Source organism: Homo sapiens, chromosome 4 (assembly GCF_000001405.40).
Source record: "Homo sapiens chromosome 4, GRCh38.p14 Primary Assembly".
Lineage (NCBI taxonomy): Eukaryota > Metazoa > Chordata > Mammalia > Primates > Hominidae > Homo > Homo sapiens.
The window spans coordinates 60908715-60929705 of record NC_000004.12 but is presented as its reverse complement, the minus strand read 5'-3'; the positions used below and the strand labels follow the sequence as shown (position 1 = coordinate 60929705).

General features: G+C 34.6%; 1 non-coding gene across 1 annotated transcript; it reads right to left on the bottom strand.

Annotated features, from left to right (window-relative positions):
- Positions 1-7021: 7021 nt before the first annotated feature.
- Positions 7022-7087, bottom strand: MIR548AG1 (microRNA 548ag-1). The gene has a single exon (NR_039652.1). It is a non-coding gene; the product is annotated as a microRNA 548ag-1 (primary transcript).
- Positions 7088-20991: the final 13904 nt, after the last annotated feature.

Below are 20991 nucleotides of genomic sequence, written 5' to 3'. Positions count from 1 at the left end.
TCCTGTACAGTTATCATGATTTGCACTCATCATTTTCTATGGAGCTCACATTCATTAAGTTCTTGAACGTTACTTGTACTATACCATTGGCTCTGCTTCAGTTTACTCTTCACAGGTGAAAAGTGCAGTATTCAGTATTCCGCTATATTATCATTCTGTAATAAATTAAAGAAGTGTTTTTGTTTGTTTGGGTGTTTTTTCGTTTTGTTTTTTTAGACAGGGTCTCACTCTGTCGTCCAGGCTGGAGTGCAGTGGTGTCATCATAGCTCACTGCCACTTCAACCTCCCCAGGCTCAGCTGCTTCTCCCACCATAGCCTCCAGAGTAGCTGGGACCATAGGCAGGCACTACCATACCTGGCTAATTTTTGTAGTTATAGGCTTTCCCCATGTTGCCCAGGCTGGTTTCAAACTCCTGGGCTCAAGTGATCCTCCTGCATTGGCCTCCCAAAGTGTTAGATTTACAGGTGTGAGTCACCGTGCCCAGCCAATTTCTGTGTTTTAAAAAGCATTTTTCTTCTTCAGTGTGTACCTAAAAATGACAGCAATTTAACTCCTTGTATACCATTAGGAAATTCCAATAACAAGTCAACAATGACCAATTTCAACCTATTAAAGAAATTGTTTGTAGTCTTAAATTGGAGTTCTTATAATAATTTAACAATTTTAAAATGTTTTTATTCCATTAAAATAAGAATTCAGTATTTATGTATTGCATCACTATCTTTTCAAACTTGAGTAGATAAATAATAAATTTAAAAAGAATTTATTTATGTACTTATAAAGTTGGAATTAAATAGATATTTCTAATTGCTTTATCAAAAGCAATTTAAACATAGAACTCAAAGAAAAAGTATCTTTTGCCTAATCAGACCACTGCTTTCCCCCTGATATTTCTTGTTGAATATATGAAAAAATAAAAATCTCACAATCTAGATAATTCCGATGACACCACCAGCAACCACTTAAGATAGGAAGAGATAGATACTAATGAAAACTTTATTATGACACAATACCATGACTGATTAATTGATTGCTGTTCCAACACCCCCAGAGGATCTCTGATTATTTCAAGAGAAAATACAATTTCTAAGTTCACAATGAAAAATTAATTTAAATTCAATTTTATATATATAATATCAAACCGCTATTGAAATCACACTTCTGCAAATCTCAACCTTTGGAAAAATAAATGCAAATTGAGAAAAATCTGTTATTGGCTGTGTAATCCTAGGTACCAAATTATGAGAAAAGAAGTTTACTGTTTACTCTTAAATGTTGAATTAAATGGATGGCATTTGAGGTAAAAACTTTATAAGGAATTTTTTTTTTAAATAGGATAACTTTTTGTTTTTTTTTTGAGATGGGGTCTTGCTTGCTCTCTTCCCAGCCTGGAGTCCGGTAGCACAATCATGGCTCACTGCAGCCTCGACCTCCCAGGCTCAGGTGATCCTCCAGCCTCAGTCACCAAAGTAGCTGAGAATAAAGATGCATGCCACCACGTCCTGCTGTTTTTTTTTTATTATCGTCATTTTTGGTTGAGACGAGGTCTTGCTATGCCTCCTAGGCTCATTTTAAAGTCCTGGACTCAAGCAATCCTCCTGCCTTACCCTCCCAAAGTGCTGGGAGTACAGGCATGAGCCACCACACCTGGCCTACATATTTGGACAGGAAAAAAGTTGTGGGTTACAACATCCGGAATTGAAACACATAAGTATATGAGAGGATTATGAGAGGAATGCCTCATGAACAAGAATAATTTGCTTTAACTCAAATTTTAACAAAGTTCCAGATAACTGATTTTTAGGAATATTAATACTTTCGACAATGAATATCAAACATTCTGCTTGGTTTATTTTGTAGAATTACCAGAATAGGAAGACATAGAAAATATGCCTTAGTTTTTTTTTTTTTTTTCTTCAATTATGGCTCATGTGGGTGATTGTATTTCTCAAAAATGTCTTCCTCACTATTTCTGACAACATACTGCTCTTCCACAATCTTACCATTTCCCCATCAAAATGTGGTGGCTACCTTTCCTTCCCAAGAAAATGAATAGGACAGTGTAATTGCTGTAATGAACGTAATGTGGCAGAAATGATGTACTGTGAATTCTGAGTCTAGGTCATAAATGAGATGTGGCTTGTACCTACTTTTCTGTCTTGGGATGTTTGATGATGAAATCCACCTACCACATTATTGAGAAAGTCCAGTCTACAAAGAGAGGGCATATGCAGTGTTTCATTCAAAAGCTCCTACCTAAGGTCCCAGCTGACAGCCAGCATCAGCTGCAGCTGACTTCAGTGAATGAGACTAAAAGATTCCAACTCTCATCCTTCCAGCCACCCCAGATGGTAATGAATGAAGCAGAAATTATCTGTTCAGTTGAGCCCTACCAAACTCAGTTTTGTGAAACATGTTAATGGGTTGCTTTAAGCTACTACTTTTGGTGTGGTTTGTTATATACTGTTTTAAAATATATGTGTTTTATTACTATTTAGGTATGGCTAGGCTAACAGATCAAAAGGCAACTGCCATTGAAAATATGGTTCTTTATACTCTCAGATCCCAAGAGGAGAGGCCACAAGAGGCCACATGGGAAGCACTAGGGTCAGTCAGGGAGTGGGGAAAACATGGACAAGATCCCTTATTGTGGGTCTGTGGGGAGAAGTGGGTATGGCAGGCAGGATAACTAGGTTTAGGATTGCCTAGTTTGAATAATTTCAGCTGCTTCTGGGGCAGAAAGGCTATACCAAGTTGTCTAGTACCTGGCTCTGGAGTGATTAGGGAACAGGAATAGTGACCCTGAATGGGGGGGCCTGACAGAGGACTTAGTTGGGGGTGTGGGTTCTGATTTGCATTTGAAAGGCCTGCTTGAGCATGAACTATTTGCTATCTCTAGGAATTGCCCCTGGGAAGGGCAGACCGTCCAGAGTCAGCAAGGCTCTAGGTACCAAAGCACCACGATGCAGGAAATAAAAAAGTGATGGTTAACAGAGTAGCAATAGGTAAACTGTATATAGATAGATATCTATATATACATATCTATGTATTTATCTATGTATATATCTACAGGTTTTTAATCAGAAGTAAGATGAGATATTAATTTAAGGAAAACTCAAATTTAGTCCCGTGGATCTAGGACTGCGGGGCAGGAAGAAGCCGAAAGTACAAAAAGTAAAAAGTCTGATTCACTTGAGTTGGCTGTTGATAACTTAATGGGAAGTGAAAAAGAGGTTATTGGAAGCTCGAGGATAGGGAAAATTTGTTTTGTAGTGGCAGAAAGTTTTAGAAGAGTTGCCTGTAGTGATGTGGAATATCGAAATTATAACTGATAAACTGATGACCTAGCTAAGGAGATTTCCAGGCAGAAGGATGAAGTTGATTCCTGGGTTCTCACTACCTATCATAAAATGCCTGAGGAGAATGATATACTGAAGAAAGAACTAGTAAATACAAAGAACCAAGTACTTATTGGGTTTGAAAATGAACTTGCTCCCAATTCCCATCCTCTTCAGATGGAAACAATACTAAATTTAATAAATGGCTTCTGGGCAAAGACAGCATCAGGGTATTGCCATGAAAACATGATGTATAGATGAAGACAAGGGTGCAACTGCACAACACTTGGTTAAGAGTCCAGAGATTTGAGGTACCCAGATTAAACAAAAATTCCTTTAAGTATCTCGTATATATTTTCTTAAAAAAAAAATTAGGCTTCTAAGACTATTAAGAACATTGCCCTGAAGTACTCTTTTAGAAAACCTAAGATACAGGAAGACTTATTTCAAGGAGACTTGTGAGTGTGGATTTTATCTAATGGGGCAAACTACGATAACATTTATAAGCAATTCATAGATTTTTTGAGGAGAATGATATTGGTTGAAACCTTGCCAGCTTGGAGGAAAAGATACAATGAAAATAGGTCTTTGTAGCTTTAAACTTTTGTGGATAGGAAACCAGCTAAAAAGAGAACTGTTTGGCTACAAATACCAACATTGTATGGCAAAGGAATAATGACTTAAAAGAGGCTCTAAGCAAAATCTCACGAGACAAAACCAAGAGCTGCCACTGAATCTCCAGTAGCTATGGAGACTCACTCTTTGTAACATGTGCCCAGCTGTACTTTAGAATTTCTGTGAAGAGTGATTTCTGGGTGTCTAAGATTTCTCTCCCTTTCAAATGAAATGATCTATATTGCATGTCTAACCATAATATATTGAGGTTGTGAGGGGAAGCTAACTTGCCTATTTAGCTTATAGGTCATCAGATCAATAGGAACTATTCTCTAGAGACAGTACTAGAGAAATACAGGATAGAAACTTCCTCTGTAGTTGGATTTAATTTAGGCAATGAGATCGTAAACCTCCATCCTGAAACTGATGCATTATGAGGCAAATCTTTAGGAGAACAGGTGATTCTATTTTGCATATGAGGAGAAAATGAATTGCTATGACCATAGAGTAGATAATGTAGTTTTCAAAAAATGGTTTCAGAAATATTTCCAGGCCCACATAACCTTCCAGAAGCTTTCCTATTATTGTTTTAAGCTACAAAGTATGGAGTTATTCTGATGTTATTAGTGAATGAGCTATTTATCCTTTTCAGGAAAATTAAAAACAAATTTTTATTTTATCCTTCCCACAATGTTTGTAGATTTTAAAAAATCTGCTTTTGATTGACAGTTATGGGTATTTGAGTAACTTTTGTAAAGTTTCATGTCTTGTAATTCTGGAAGGCAGATTCAAATCCAGTCTTTTTCCAGAAGCTATGCTCTTAGTCACTAAGCTATGTGGTTTACTTATTTATTGAGTGCCTCTTTTATATCTAGCACTGAACTAAATGTTTTACAAAGAAAAAGAACCCCATTATTATTATTATCATTCAACATTTGGACAAATGAGTACACAGAGAAATAAAGTTCCTTGCTTAAACTCACACAGCTTGAGAGTGGCAAAACTAGCTCTTGAACCCTGGGAGTCAAGCTCCAGAAACCCTGCTTTTAAACAATGTCATAAGCTGCTGCTGTGGAGCTCTCTTCCTTCTTCTTTTTTTTTTTTCCCAGTAGATCGTAAATTTATTATTTTCTTTTCAGAAAGCAGAATAGAAAACCAGGACTGTAGTAGTACAATTCGAATGTCACCAGATTATTTCTCCAAATATTTGACCCAACTCTCATATAGAGATATGCTTTACAAAGATAGCCTTTACTAGGAAGTCCAATTTTTCTTAAATTTTCACATTACTTTGATAACCATTTAGACTGTGCTAAATATAGATATTCTCACAATTGTGTGATAATTTGAAGTTTGTGAATTTCAGTGCTTGTTATTGTAAAAACAAACAAAACATCCACTTCTTTTCTGAATTGCCACCCTGAACACTTTTTGTCAGTGCTTTTCCCCCCATATTCTTCATCAAATTATTGTAATTTTTTTAAAAAAACTATGTCTTAACTATTCCACCAGTCTGTGAAAACATTTCAGGAAACATAGCACCCAGAATGTAAAGTTATAATATAAATTTGATGAGTGAGTAGATCAATAATTCCTAGTCAAACAATAAATTTTTATATCTATAAAATATTTGCCTCTATATGTCAGAGAAATTTTTAAAAGTGTATACAATGAAATGCATGATAGTTTTTTGAAATATATACTGTAATACTTCCAGAAGTAAAGTATATGTATGTTATTTTATACTGTAATTTTATAGGTAATTATATAATATGGTATAATTATATATTATATATAGTATATACAATATATAAGTATATGTAACTATATATGTATATATTTATATGTAATAGACACACAAACATATATTTTAAATTTAACAAATACTTTTAGTCCAGACACTGTTCCAAGCACTTTACAAAATGTTAACTCATTTGATTTCTAAAATAATCCAATGAAGTAAGAGCCATTATTTTTCTCATTTTAAAATTGAAGGAACAGATACACAGACATCTATATAGCAATTTGTTCAGTCACACATTGGGTAAGCAGGGGAATTTGAACCCAGGCAGTCTAATATTAGAATCACTACTAGTAACTATTACAGAATAATGCATATGAAATTGTTCTTAGTATGGCATCCACAAGCACTAGGCAAGTATATTAGACTGAACCATCCTTTTTACCCATAAAAATGTAATTTCATGTTTCAACCAATATAGTTAAGGGTGGAATTCGACCAAGAAAAGGATAAATAACTTTATTTTCTGTGAATAAGTCACAATAAGGTTGAGAAGAAAATAGACAAGTTATAGGATAGTACATCCTCCTAATGTCACAGTGACAGCTTTGTCTTCAAGAAGCAATGTAAAGAGTGTTTCTTTAGTGTCTTAACTTTCTAATCAATTTAACAATCACAGGATGTGTACTGAGAAGCAGCAGGACTGACCATAATTGATATGTAAATACAGCTGCGGAGATTCAATTGCTAAAGAGTGAAACCCTGCCCTATGATGTTTTACAGTTAAAGACAAATGTGTGATCCACCAGTCTGGGGGTGACTGATCAACTGAAAAGAAATCCCTGAACAAGTAGATATTGCTTTGGTAAGGTACTCTTAATTCAGCAAGAGTTAATACAACAGCACCAAAAGCATTCTGTTTTGGACTTTTTAGGCTGACAACACATTATTTTACTTTGCTTGAATTTTGACACGAGATATATATTTTTATCTAGATGCCAGGCACTGAATCTTTTTTTTTTTCTTTTCAGGTAGATAAATAACTTTTCTCAGAAATGTATTCTAAAGGAGAGAGAAAGCTGGTGTCTGTACTTCTGGAATCAACGTCTGGCTTTTTTAGTTCTTAAAAAATAGTGTGACCTTAATCAAAACATTTCTTTCTATGAGTTAGTGTACTCAATTACATTTATTTACTTGAGTTTTTCATTACAATCTAACTGATCATGTGATTAAGTGATAAGGATATGTCTATGGCTATGATTTGGCTCTATACTAAAGGAGGATGAATAAGGGACTAAGAAAATCTAAGAAGAATATGTATTAGGTTGGTGCAAAAGTAAATGTAATATTTGCCATTACCTTTAAAAGCAGAAACCACAATTACCTTTGCACCAACCTAATAATATCTGCCTCTATATTTCAGAGAAATTCTCAGAAGTATATGAAATAAAACACATAAAATTATTTTTGGAAATATACATTGTAAATATCACAGTATTATAAAACCTAATGTGAGTGCAGTAATAAAAATAAAGTATGCTTATTGAGTATCTACTTTGAGGAAGTCTTTAAGTCTCATCTTGGCTATAAAATGACAATCACTGCAAACTTCTCTTTTATTTTGAAGCACCCAGCATTCTCCTTTTGACCCAATACTATAAGCTAAAGTTTCCAGCAGTGGTACTGTTATGGAACAACAGGGATCGCTGAGATTTAGAATTACTAACATGCATAAATAATTATCAATTTGGTAAGAACAAAGTGATAAGATGAATTTTGCGTAAGAGATTTAAAGTATACTTTGTTAGGGAGTGTGATGAGAAAGATGAACTAGGCAAAATATTTAAAAGTATATCCTTATATACAATATACAATATATACAATATACCAGTCCATAGCCTCTTAGGAACTGAGCCACACAGCGGGAGGTGAGTGTCAGGTAAGCAAGCAAAACTTCATTTATATTTATGGCCACTCCCCATCACTTGCATTAGCACCTGAGCTGTAGCTTTCATCAGAGCAGCAGTGACATCAGATTCTCATAGGCGCATGAATTCTATTGTGAACTGTGCATGCCAGGGATCTAGGCTGCATGCTCTTTATGCCTGATGATCTATCACTGTCTCCAGTCACCCCCACATGGGACCGTCTAGTTGCAGGAAAACAAGCGCAGGGCTCCCACTGATTCTACATTATGGTGAGTTGTATAATTATTTCATTATATATTACAATGTAATAATAATAGAAATAAAGTGCACAATAAATGTAATGCACTTGAGTCATCCGAAAACCATCTCCCACAACCCCCATGGTCCGTGGAAAAATTGTCTTCCATAGAACTGTTCCCTGGTGTCAAAAAGGTTGGGGGACCATTGCTATATAGAAGAAATGCCTAATTATGTACCCTATTACTCTAGACATAGATTAATATATATCCATATATTATTCTATATGTTGACTTATTTATAACCGAGATATGTAAGACACTTTATCACATAAGCTCAAATATATCTATTCAATATAATTTTTCTTAATAAACAAATCTGAGGAAAAACAAAGAAAAAATTAAAGACTCTCAAAGGCAAGCAAGGAATTCAGCTTGTAAGTAGCATGGAGAAAAATAGTATCTGCCAAAGGCTTATAAAACAGTAAAGAAGATTGACTCAGAAAATGAGTCCAGTGTTTAAGCAGCATGAAATGAAAAACAATATACAGTGTACTGTTATAATGTTTTAAAGCATTATGGATTTTATATTGGTGTTCATAGCAACATCTAATCTGCCTTAGAAACTTATTTTGACAGTGTTTTGTACTCAGGATGCATATCAAAGCTTTGCTACCACACTTTGATCAGAATCAGACTCAGGAATAGATATTATCTAACTTCTAACTTAGCATCCTCAATTATCATATTTTATCAGATCTGAACTGTGATGAAGATTTTGGATGATGTGTAATAGGAGCTAAACAATCATGAATTTCACTCACCAAATTCAAAATGTAAACATGGTTGTGTGAAATACAGTCATTGCCATGTATTTGATTGAAATATCTCATTTGACTTTCTGATAATTTGGGATACAATAAAAGTGAATTAGTGGTGACATCTAATATTTTTCTAAGGGAAATATAGCTCTATATGTCTTTCTAAAGAATAAAAATTGTATACTTATTCATTTATGTTTTGAGATGTTTCTTTTTTTGTACACCAGTCAATAGCCAAGTACTGCCTACCATTTGTCAGTTTCATTTTAAGGGAAAGGTAGGTAAGAAATCCTTAAAATTTTCATTCTGAATATCTTTTCCTATACTTTAAAAAATAAGGACCAGCTTATTGTATAGCTTCACTCAACAAAATAGAAGCCAACAGAGCATTACTCTACATTCTCTGAAAACGTAATTTAATTCAGCTTTAGTTTTATGCATTTATCTATGACAAGCAACTAATTAATTATAATATGTGATTCAAATTAAAAGTTATTATCAAAGTTTTGTGGCATAATTCTATAGTAAAGGAAATTGATGTAATTTAGTCCAAATTTATTGCTTCTTGTTTATTCTAAAGATAATTCTGGTATGGGCTTTCTAAATTAAGAAATATCTAGGAAGAAGAAAGTTTTGTCTTTTAAAACATACATCCTTAGTGGTATTCATATCTCCTAAATAGCTTCATAGATAGTAGAAGTTTTATATATAGAACACCTCGTGTTCACACTTGTTAGTAGTCAGAATAAAAAATATTTTAAATAGTGACACCTTATAAAATTAAATATAGTTCTTTCCATATATATGACCTCAAAACCAAACCTATTTGCAAAGTTTCTATGTCATAGTTTCCTTGGTTAGAAGTGAAGGAACAAATTTTGTAAGTAAAATGTAAAGCAATACTGACAATAAATATATATGGTGATTCGCTACTCAGTAAGAAATACCTCAAATTCAAAAAAGTACACTAATGATCACTGTACATTCAGAAACTCAGCCATTAATCCTCTGGCAAATTTTAAGTCTGTGATTCAGAATAATTTCCTTGCAAATATCCAGAGAAACCAACAGTATCTCACAAAGCTTAGTGAACCTCAATTCTGTTAAATGAAGTTTTATTATCTGTTTGCCTTTTTAATGGAGGCAAGACAAGGCATTCAAAAATACACAATATATGAGATCTAAACAATTAGATCCCATTAGAGTATACTTTAGAGTCAGTTTTTAGAGTTTTTGTTTTATTCTTGATTGCTCACACATTTACTTAAAACTCTTAGACTAGTTACGACTATCTTCTTATTCATATGGACCTTACAGGTCAAACAAACATATATGAGCATGGAATGTTCTTCCATTTGTTTGTATCCTCTTTTATTTCATTGAGCAGTGGTTTGTAGTTCTCCTTGAAGAGGTCCTTCATGTCCCTTGTAAGTTGGATTCCTAGGTATTTTATTCTCTTTGAAGCAATTGTGAATGGGAGTTCACTCACGATTTGGCTCTCTGTTTGTCTGTTATTGGTGTATAAGAATGCTTGTGATTTTTGCACATTGATTTTGTATCCTGAGACTTTGCTGAAGTTGCCTATCAGCTTAAGGAGATTTTGGGCTGACATGATGGGGTTTTCCAGACATACAATCATGTCATCTGCAAACAGGGACAATTTGACTTCTTCTTTTCCTATTTGAATACTCTTTATTTCCTTCTCCTGCCTGATTGCCCTGGCCAGAGCTTCCAACACTATGTTGAATAGGAGTGGTGAGAGAGAGCATCCCTGTCTTGTGCCAGTTTTCAAAGGGAATGCTTCCAGTTTTTGCCCATTCAGTATGATATTGACTGTGGGTTTGTCATAGATAGCTCTTATTATTTTGAGATACGTCCCATCAATACCTAATTTATTGAGAGTTTTTAGCATAAAGCATTGTTGAATTTTGTCAAAGGCCTTTTCTGCATCTATTGAGATAATCATGTGGTTTTTGTCATTGGTTCTATTTATATGCCGGATTACGTTTATTGATTTGTGTATGTTGAACCAGCCTTGCATCCCAGTGGATAAGCTTTTTGATGTGCTGCTGGCTTCTGTTTGCCAGTTTTTATTGAGGATTTTTCATCGATGTTCATCAGGGATATTGGTCTAAAATTCTCTTTTTTTGTTGTGTCTCTGCCAGACTTTGGTATCAGGATGACGCTGGCCTCATAAAATGAGTTAGGGAGGATTCCCTCTTTTTCTATTGATTGGAATAGTTTCAGAAGGAATGGTAGCAGCTCCTCCTTGTACCTCTGGTAGAATTCAGCTGTGAATCCATCTGGCCCTGGACTTTTTTTTGGTTGGTAAGCTATTAATTATTGCCTGAATTTCAAAGCCTTTTATTGGTCTATTCAGAGATTCAACTTATTCCTGGTTTAGGTAGGAAGAATCAATATCGTGAAAATGGCCATTCTGCCCAAGGTAATTTATAGATTCAATGCCATCCCCATCAAGCTAACAATGACTTTCTTCACAGAATTGGAAAAAACTACTTTAAAGTTCATATGGAACCAAAAAAGAGCCCACATCGCCAAGTCAATCCTAAGCCAAAAGAACAAAGCTGGAGGCATCATGCTACCTGGCTTCAAACTATACTACAAGGCTACAGTAACCAAAACAGCATGTTACTGGTACCAAAACAGAGATATAGACCAATGGAACAGAACAGAGCCCTCAGAAATAATGCCGCATATCTACAACTATCTGATCTTTGACAAACCTGACAAAAACAAGAAATGGGGAAAGGATTCCCTATTTAATAAATGGTGCTGGGAAAACTGGCTAGCCATATGTAGAAAGCTGAAACTGGATCCCTTCCCTACACTTTATACAAAAATTAATTCAAGATGGATTAAAGACTTAAATGTTAGGTCTAAAACCATAAAAACCCTAGAAGAAAACCTAGGCAATACCATTCACGACATAGGCATGGGCAAGGACTTCATGTCTAAAACACCAAAAGCAATGGCAACAAAAGACAAAATTGACAAATGGGATCTAATTAAACTCAGGAGCTTCTGCACAGCAAAAGAAACTACCATCAGATTGATCAGGCAACCTACAGAATGGGAGAAAATTTTTGCAATCTACTCATCTGACAAAGGGCTAATATCCAGAATCTACAATGAACTCAAACAAATTTACAAGAAAAAAACAAACAACCCCATCAATAAGTGGGTGAAGGATATGAACAGACGCTTCTCAAAAGAAGACATTTGTGCAGCCAAAAGACACATGAAAAAATGCTCATCATCATTGGCTATTAGAGAAATGCAAATCAAAACCACAATGAGATACCATCTCACACCAGTTAGAATGATGATCATTAAAAAGTCAGGAAACAACAGGTGCTGGAGAGGATGTGGAGAAATAGGAACACTTTTACACTGTTGGTGAGACTGTAAACTAGTTCAACCATTGTGGAAGTCGGTGTGGCGATTCCTCAGGGATCTAGAACTAGAAATACCATTTGACCCAGCCATCCCATTACTGGGTATATACCCAAAGGACTATAAATCATGCTGCTATAAAGACACATGCACACGTATGTTTACTGCGGCACTATTCACAATAGCAAAGACTTGGAACCAACCCAAATGTCCAACAATGATAGACTGGATTAAGAAAATGTGGCACATATACACCATGGAATACTATGCAGCCATAAAAAACGATGAGTTCATGTCCTTTGTAGGAACATGGATGAAGCTGGAAACCATCATTCTCAGTAAACTATCGCAAGGACAAAAAACCAAACACCACATGTTCTCACTCATAGGTGGGAATTGAACAATGAGAACACATGGACACAGGAAGGGGAACATCACGCACCAGGGCCTGTTTTGGGGTGGGGAGAGCATGGAGGGATAGCATTAGGAGATATACCTAATGTTAAATGAAGAGTTACTGGGTTCAGCACCCCAGCATGGCACATGTATACATATGTAACAAACCTGCACGTTGTGCACATTTACCCTAAAACTTAAAGTATAATAATAAAAAAAGAAACATACATAATGAAATTATATATAAGAAATATCTTATCTTTTAATTAGACAAAGATTATAGAGTCTATAAAAATACAATGAAATATAACTAAACTCTATCATTAGAGTTCACTTTTTGATTGATAGTTGCTAAATCAGTAAAGCAGAAACCCAGGCAGGAAAAGACTTGATTGTGTGGTACTAGGCAGAGTGTGAGAGGCCAGCTTTTCCTCTAGTATTTCTCTGTTGTATTCTCTGTGCCTTTGTTGTGCTTTGTCTGTATTCTTCCAATGTCATCTCATCCAGTCCTACAAATTCAAACATAATATTCTTGTTGATGATGGTCAAATTTACATCTTCAGGCCTTGTCTCTCCACTCCCACTGCCTTATACTCTTTTTTATTTTCTTCATATAACTTACAAAATTCATTGTTATTTCATTTTTTTGTATGCTTGATTTGTTTTTGTCTGTCTTCCTCACTGTAATGTAAACACTGAGATCAGAGATCAGAGTCTAGAACTAGACTAGACCAGGTCGAGTTCAATTGGTTTATAGTAAGCAATTGATAGTTACAGACCTTTGAGGTAACATTGGTATATTTTTTGTTTTCTCACTTGTCTCTCCTGCCATCTACATCTTCTCCTCACTGAGTATTCTCTGTGTTAGTACATGATACCAGTAATCACATAATTAACATTAGCTAGAAGTCTAGGTCCTTACCCTTACCCAGTCCATCAACAAGTCCCATCAACTTCATTTTCAAGATATTTCCTGCAGAGCTCTGCCATTTCTTTAAGAAACACCATCATCCCTTACTTGGACTATGCAACAGTTTTCAAACTTGCCTCATGTACTTCTACACTTACCCACTTGCAAAATATCAAGTGATTTTGTTAAACATAATTCTAATCACAATATTTCATGCTTAAAAATCTTCAGTGGTTTTGTACTGTGCTAACAATGAAAAGATTTCAAAATAATATTGGTGATCTACAATATCTGAATTTATTTGTGATCCTTATTTTCTTTCCAGTCATTTCTTACTATTATTTCCTCCCTAGAGGACCGTGTCCACTCATGCTGGACTTCTCTTCATTCCTGGAGGAAGCCACTCTCTAGTCTGCCTTAAGGTATTTGCATATATTGGTCCTCCTACCTGGAATAATTTTCCTCCTCTCTTTTCTAGTAGCTAATTCTGTCTCAACCTTAAAGTCCTACATTAATATTAATGTTTTAGAGAATTATTTGTTCATCTTACTCCTACAATTAAACTCCACCTTGGTGCCCCAATATGCCCTTGCTTGTTTCCTTCATAAAACTTGGAAAATTAAAAAACTTTTAAATTTGTTTTTGTTTTTTGTTTTTGTCTATCCTTCTCACTGTAATGTAAACTCTTTTTTTTTTTTTTTGAGATGGAGTTTTGCTCTTGTTGACCAGGCTGGAGTGCAATGGTGTGATCTTGGCTCACTGCAACCTCTACCTCCTGGGTTCAAATTATTCTCTTGCCTCAGCCTCTGGAGTAGCTGGGATTACAGGCATGTGCCACCACCCCTGGCTAATTAATGTAAAATCTTTGAGACCAGAGACTGTGCTGTTTAGTTTGCTTGGCTTTTAGGCAAGTTAACAATCAATAATTATTGTGGAGTAAATGAAATCCTCTTATCTCATGATGCGTCCTACCCCAAAAACCCATCAAATAATCCCTCAGAGGACTTAGTTAACAGCCAAGACATAACTAAAAAGAAATTTTGAATAGTTCAACCAAACTATAGCCCTAACGGTTAGATGTCACATAGTGTAATCATAGTATATGTCAAATTTCTTCAGTTACAAGCAAAATCAACCCAATTCTAAGTAGCAAAAATTTGACATTTATTGATTGATATAATGAGATAAGCCAGGGATTAGTTTGATTCTGGTATGCTTGGATCCAGGGACTCATATAATATATAGGGTTCCATTTTTGTCTTCACCTGGACTCGATTGCGTGACAGAATAGCAATTTTCTGACTTCCTAAAATATACATCCAACCAGCCTGGTAACCCTGGAAGAAATAAAACATTTTATTAAGTACCTCAGGTAATTGGCCCAAAGAAAAATTTTATTAGCCTGCATTGGTTATACACTTATTTTGAACCAATAACTTTCCAAGGGATAATCTTGCTTACTGGGCCTCAGGTTTTATGCCCATTAGTGCAGTGCTGACCCAAGAATAGCAGGGATGCTATTAGATGACAAGTAAAAATATTCTAGGGAAAAAGGGCAAATCGTATTTCTTCTACCAACTTTTTGTCAAAAGTAGTGTTAGTTTTACTTTAAATTAAAGCTCTGCTAAATAATTTCTTCACAGCTTTGATAAATGCAATCTAATAGATAACTTTTGTTATCCTACTCTTATATTTTGCCTGTTGTTGAAGTCATAATATATAGGCAATGACTACTCAAATGACAAGTAAGAATAAGCCTGCATTTTATATACAGGAGACAAATATTAAAATGTTCAAATACAAGCGTTATTTAAAACAATAGATTATGATTGGTCCATAAAACTCATGGAATATCCTCCTATCTGAGATTATCAGGAAAAAATGAAAAGGTAACCCTTTTCAAGAACTTTTGAAGAGGAAATAAATATTGAAAAGAGATGTCAGTCTAGTTGAAACAAAAGCATTTCATCTATAACTAGCAATGATTACCTTGAGCTTTGATAAACTAGATTTCCCCAAAGTTTATTGATTTCAGTCTTTAATTTAAAAATAAGATGTAGTAAGCTCATAATAAAGCATAAGAAAACTTTCATATGATTATTTTTTCTGTTGTGGTCAGTTGTGTTAAAAAAATCAAAGTGAGAAATGACAATTATAAAACACTAAAAAAATTCATCATTTTAGGCCTTTCAGTGATATTGTGTTAAAGGAGATCTTGCCTAGGGCTCTAACATCCATCCTGCAACAGAATAAAACATTTGGGACTTTTGTATGGTTATCTGATATTTAAAAGCGGCCTGTTTGAAATTTTGTTTCTAAGTAGATATTATTTACAGTTTGTGAAACGCAATGAATTCAGTCTATAAATCAGCCTTCAAGAACACAAATCTTGTTGGCTGCCATGTTAATAAATCAACTTACCTAAATAATCTTGGGACTCTGACAATGATGCAGGCTGTGGGCTTGGAAATTTAGCCATTGCCTTACTGTGGACTTGATCTTCTGACATTTTAATGGATTGAGCTCCTATTTCTGATGGTTCAGTTTATACATGGACATAAACTATTTTGAGCACTTCAGAGCTGAGAGCTAAGAGCTGATGTCCAGGTTTGGAGTCAAACTGTCTGTCCTTAGGACTAACTGGGATAGAATAAAGTGTACATCTAAAGAGTTTCCATTATATGTGTAATTACCGCCCTAAATAATATCATATATACATGCCCAACCAAACAAAGTAACAATAAAACAAAGGGTATTTCAGAGGGGATGATATATTTTCATAAACTTCCCTCATCTCTTCAAGTTAACTAACTTTATTATTTATTGTGTGTGTGTGTATGTGTGCACGCTTGTGTGTTAAAACAAATGGATGCTATTGCTTCAAGGAATAATTGCAGCTTTCAAAAACACAGAGTCTGATGTTTGAAGCACTTTAATTGTACTTTTTTCCTAGTGTCTGGAATTGTTTGGCAATAAATTGTATTCTGTGCTGCTTCAATTGCTAGTCTTTTCAGATCCGACTGCACTTAATTACTCAAGACATGATCTGCTAAAAGCTACATCTGGAAACAATGTCACTCACTGTGTTTGGCATTGAAAGTTGGAATTATGTTAAATGAATACTTTTAACCACAAAACTTTGAGAAAAGCATTAGAGCCGCCAGGCACTTTCTATGGATTTAGCTTAAAACGAATAGTGTAGGCTGTTTATGCAATATTTATTTTCTGAACTTTCTTGATGTGACTATGGTGATGTCTTTGTCTTTGTTTACCTTTATCTTTAGTATTCATCTGACCAGAGTTTCCCATATAATTCTTGTCCTCCCCCATATTAAGAGCATATCTTGTCTTTTCTACTCATCAATTTATTTTTTTGTTCATTTGTTTTTGAGAGTTTCTTGCTCTGTCGCCCAGGCTGGCGTGCAGTGGCACAATCATAGCTCACTGCCACCACGACTTTCCAGGCTCAAGTGATCTTCCCACCTCAGCCTCCCAAGTAGCTAGGATTTCAGGCATGCACCACCACACCCAGCTAATTATTTAATTTTTTGTAGTGACAGAGTCTTGCTGTGTTCTTCAGGCTGGTCCCTAACACCTGGCCTCACGCTATCCTCCTGCCTCGGTCTCCCAGAGTGTTGGGATTATAGGCGTCTGTCACCACACTCGGATATTTTTTATGCTAAGCATAGTAGGCAAAATATTAAACTTAGCCTTTGGATGTCAAAGGCAATAAAAGATTTTCCCATTTGAGAAAAAGTTTATTTTAATTTCAGAAATAGCACAGAAATTCTTTAGAATTTATTTCATAGAATTGAAATATATGCTTCTGTCCACAACTTTGTGGCTTCTTCAGAGTACCCAGTGAACGTGGCTTATGCTACATGGAGACCGTGGCTTGGGCACATCCTGTGATATTTTGGATCCTGTATTTCTTTCACACTGTAAACATGCCTGGGCTTCAAAAGATGACTATGGTGATGTCTTTGTTTTGCTTACTTGGGGTTGAATCAGTCCAAAGGTAGCAGTGATATAAAATTAATAGTATGTTCAGTTAAATACGTGTCTTTGGAAACTAAATATAATACAGATACTAGTGAAAGTACTAAAACTTATTAATAAGATACCTTTATTATAATGTAATACTTATAATAATATAAATATCTTATTATAATAAGTATCTTTTACATAAAATTTAATGCAATAATAAGGTCCTTTCTATGACCCTCTTTCCTGGCTAACAGTATTATTTCTGATGTTTTTAGTTTTCAGTGACATAATGAGATACATGATTGTGTTTTCCACTTCAACATGATTTTAAAATATTTTTTTCTTATAGAAAAATGTTTAGTGTTAGTAGAACCCCCTGCTGCTTTTATTATTTTCCTTAAGTAATTTAATAAAGGCAGCCTTATATAACATCTTTTTAAATTGACTGAGGCTAGCGACACATGAGAACAAAATACCCCACAACTCCATTCATCTTTGATATTTGATTTACAAGCTACAGTTAAGCTTGTTGATTAAAAAGCAAAGCAAAATCAGGGGAATCTGAATGACACCATTCACTGAAAGAGAGGCAGCTTTCTCAGCAATTTACATTCCTCATAGTAGGTTAATTGACAAATAGATTACTAAAGAATTGACACTATGCGACACTTTGGCATGGTAATTAATACTATATTTGGCAGAAGTCAGATGCTCATTGACCGTCACAGAAGATGATCAGTTTATGTCTTCAGAATCTGCTAGCTGCATGGCAAGACATTGCAGGGTAAATTGTTTACATTGTTAATTATATCAACATAATATTGCATTGTATTAGTCTATCCATTCTGGAATATTTACTTTGATGGTAATACATGCATTATACAGTTGAATCAGTTTAAAATCAACACTGTGCCACAGTGTAGATTGTATAAATTGTATTACCTTAATATGGCACTTACTGATGGGAAATAATTTAAGACTGAATGGTCAACAGAGGTCCTCTCTTTGAATACAACACTTCAGAGCATTAGTGAAATGAGTCACAGCCAAGAGATGAAAGGGTTGGTGTCCTGATATCTGTGTTTCTATTACCATCATTCCACAATTGAAAGCATTTTCTGCATAGCTTGTAGAACTTATCATTAAAGAACCACTCTTTTGAATAATGTTCTACAGATATTTGAACTAACTCTCTGAAGAATATATTAAGGTTATTTCCCCAAGTTTTCTGTTAACTCTGTTATATGTCTGCAGTATTTTCATGCTATCATTGAAGTTATACTTTTAAAATATCAGAATACTATATAATAAATCTTTCTTGGACTTACATGGTGTAATAATGAGGAAATACATTACTTTTGATTATAAAAAGTTGCAAAAACTTGAAAACTTAAACTTCTTTCCCTTTCTTGCTTCTGGTGAATAAATAGAGTTATAGAAACAACCTTACATGTCTGGGTTCAATGCCTTGGATCAAGTATAGGGTCATGCGTAACACTGGATTCCATGTTGACAATTCCTCTAAAATGGGGAAAAAATGCCATTCGATACTGAAAATTATTATGGGATATGAAAATGTAGACTAAGAAAGCATGCATATAAACTGCATATTCTGAATTTTGCAATTGCTGTTTGGGATTAACTATGTAAATGCTTTCTGGTCATCTGAATGCAAATGACAGATATGAAACGTAATGAATAAAAGTGCATATATTTTATATATCTCATTATATTGACTTACAATATTGACTTCCTTTACATTCATTTGTAATGCACTTAAATTGGTACATTAAGGAACAAAAACTATTTGGATATTTTATAGAAATTTTCTAAATAATTCAGTATTTTAGAAATAAAGTTCAGCCAGCAGTTAACAAAGATATTTGGTAAGCATGGTTCCATGATATCTCAATAGGAGTTATGTTGATAATTTTATGTGTTTTTTCACATTACTTATATCAATAACATGTTTTCATCAGTCTTTTCTTTATTTTCATTTATTTTAAACAGAAGGGAAATTATCATTTATTTGGTTACAACTATCTCATGCTGTACTTGAAAATATTATATCTGATAGCAAGAAAACAACTACTCACCCATATAAAATATACTTTTCCTGTACATTTTATTTTTCTGTACTAATAAATGGATGCAAATGTTTATTTCTTCTTTTATCACTAACAGTCCCTTTAGATTTCTACTTTCGTTGACTTAAGAATGATTTTTCTACCATATTTGTGAGCTACTTATAATTCTTTTTTTTTTCAGTACCTAATTACCTTTGGAAAAAAATGAGTTTGTTTTCTGGATGTTTTCTTCTCTTTTTCTAATGGAGCAAAGGGAGTAACACTTCCCCTATCCTCGTCTTCCATTAACCAGTTGCCTTTGGTTCCTCAAGAAGTACAATGGCTCTCATGAGCTTATTACTGCTTTATTTATCTGTAAAACCTTTATCCTCTATCTCAATGCCTTTTGTATTTCCCATTTCATTTTGTTCCTTTACTTTCTAGATTGTTTTCATGTGTTCTTGAATCAAGCAGGCTTTTTCTGCAAGGTTAATATTCTATGTACTTTTCCTTTTTTCTTTCTTATTTTTTGGTCTTTGATCATTCTTTCCATTTCCCTGGCCCTTCATATGGATCATTTACAACTTCACATAAAAGTTTATTTATTTGAATTCCCTGAAATCAACCCATGAATACTTCACTTTGTGTGTGTGTGTGTGTGTGTGTGTGTGCGTGTGTGTTTCCCCCTCTAGGCTCTAGCTCACTTATAACTCTGTTTTGCAACGTATTTCCTTTAGTGGAACACACATTTATCATACTGTACCCTGTTTCTCCTGGGGCTCTTTTGGCTACTTTCTTTAAGGACCTTGTGTAGCATTTTTGTTTTAGGACCAACTGATCTAGACTAATCAGGATGAAGGCCCTTCAGATGTTTCATTTTATTTGAAACCTATTTATTCTGTGGCCACAGCAAACATTTCAAAATGACTTTTATCTCTTATCCACCACAGAGTAAACAGATCTCCAGCAGGGATGAGATCTCTCATTTTGTATACTCTCTCCTGCTTCCTGCTATGTAAGAGATTCTAGAACAACGATCAAAACTGTGATTTCACAAAGCTGCGTGCAACACATGCAAATAATGCTGATTTTTTTCACAAAGCTGTTGCTGAGATTTTAGAAGCACTATGGTAAACTGGAAATAATATTTCTCTAGGGAATATTCCAGACTGACACATGTGAATATTCTTCTCAGACTAAATGAAGTGCAAGATTGTGTTCAATATTTTCTCTTTAACAACAGAGGTCGGATTGACCGAATTATAGCTGAAATAATTTGCAATTAGACCTGTGGAAAACCATTGTGTCTCTAACCATAACGGTGTAAGGCCACAGGCTACATCACACAAAAATATTGAAGAATGATTTTTAATCATATTGCAACAATTTTTAAAAGCAAGGAAGGTAACTGCCCCTGGAAGGTATGGAATCTATGGATATAGAGAAATGGACTACATCTCTTTTGGGAAATCCATTGTCCCTTCTAGCACTACAATTTTTTTGATTTATTGGGATAAAAGTTTTCTTGATCATGAGCC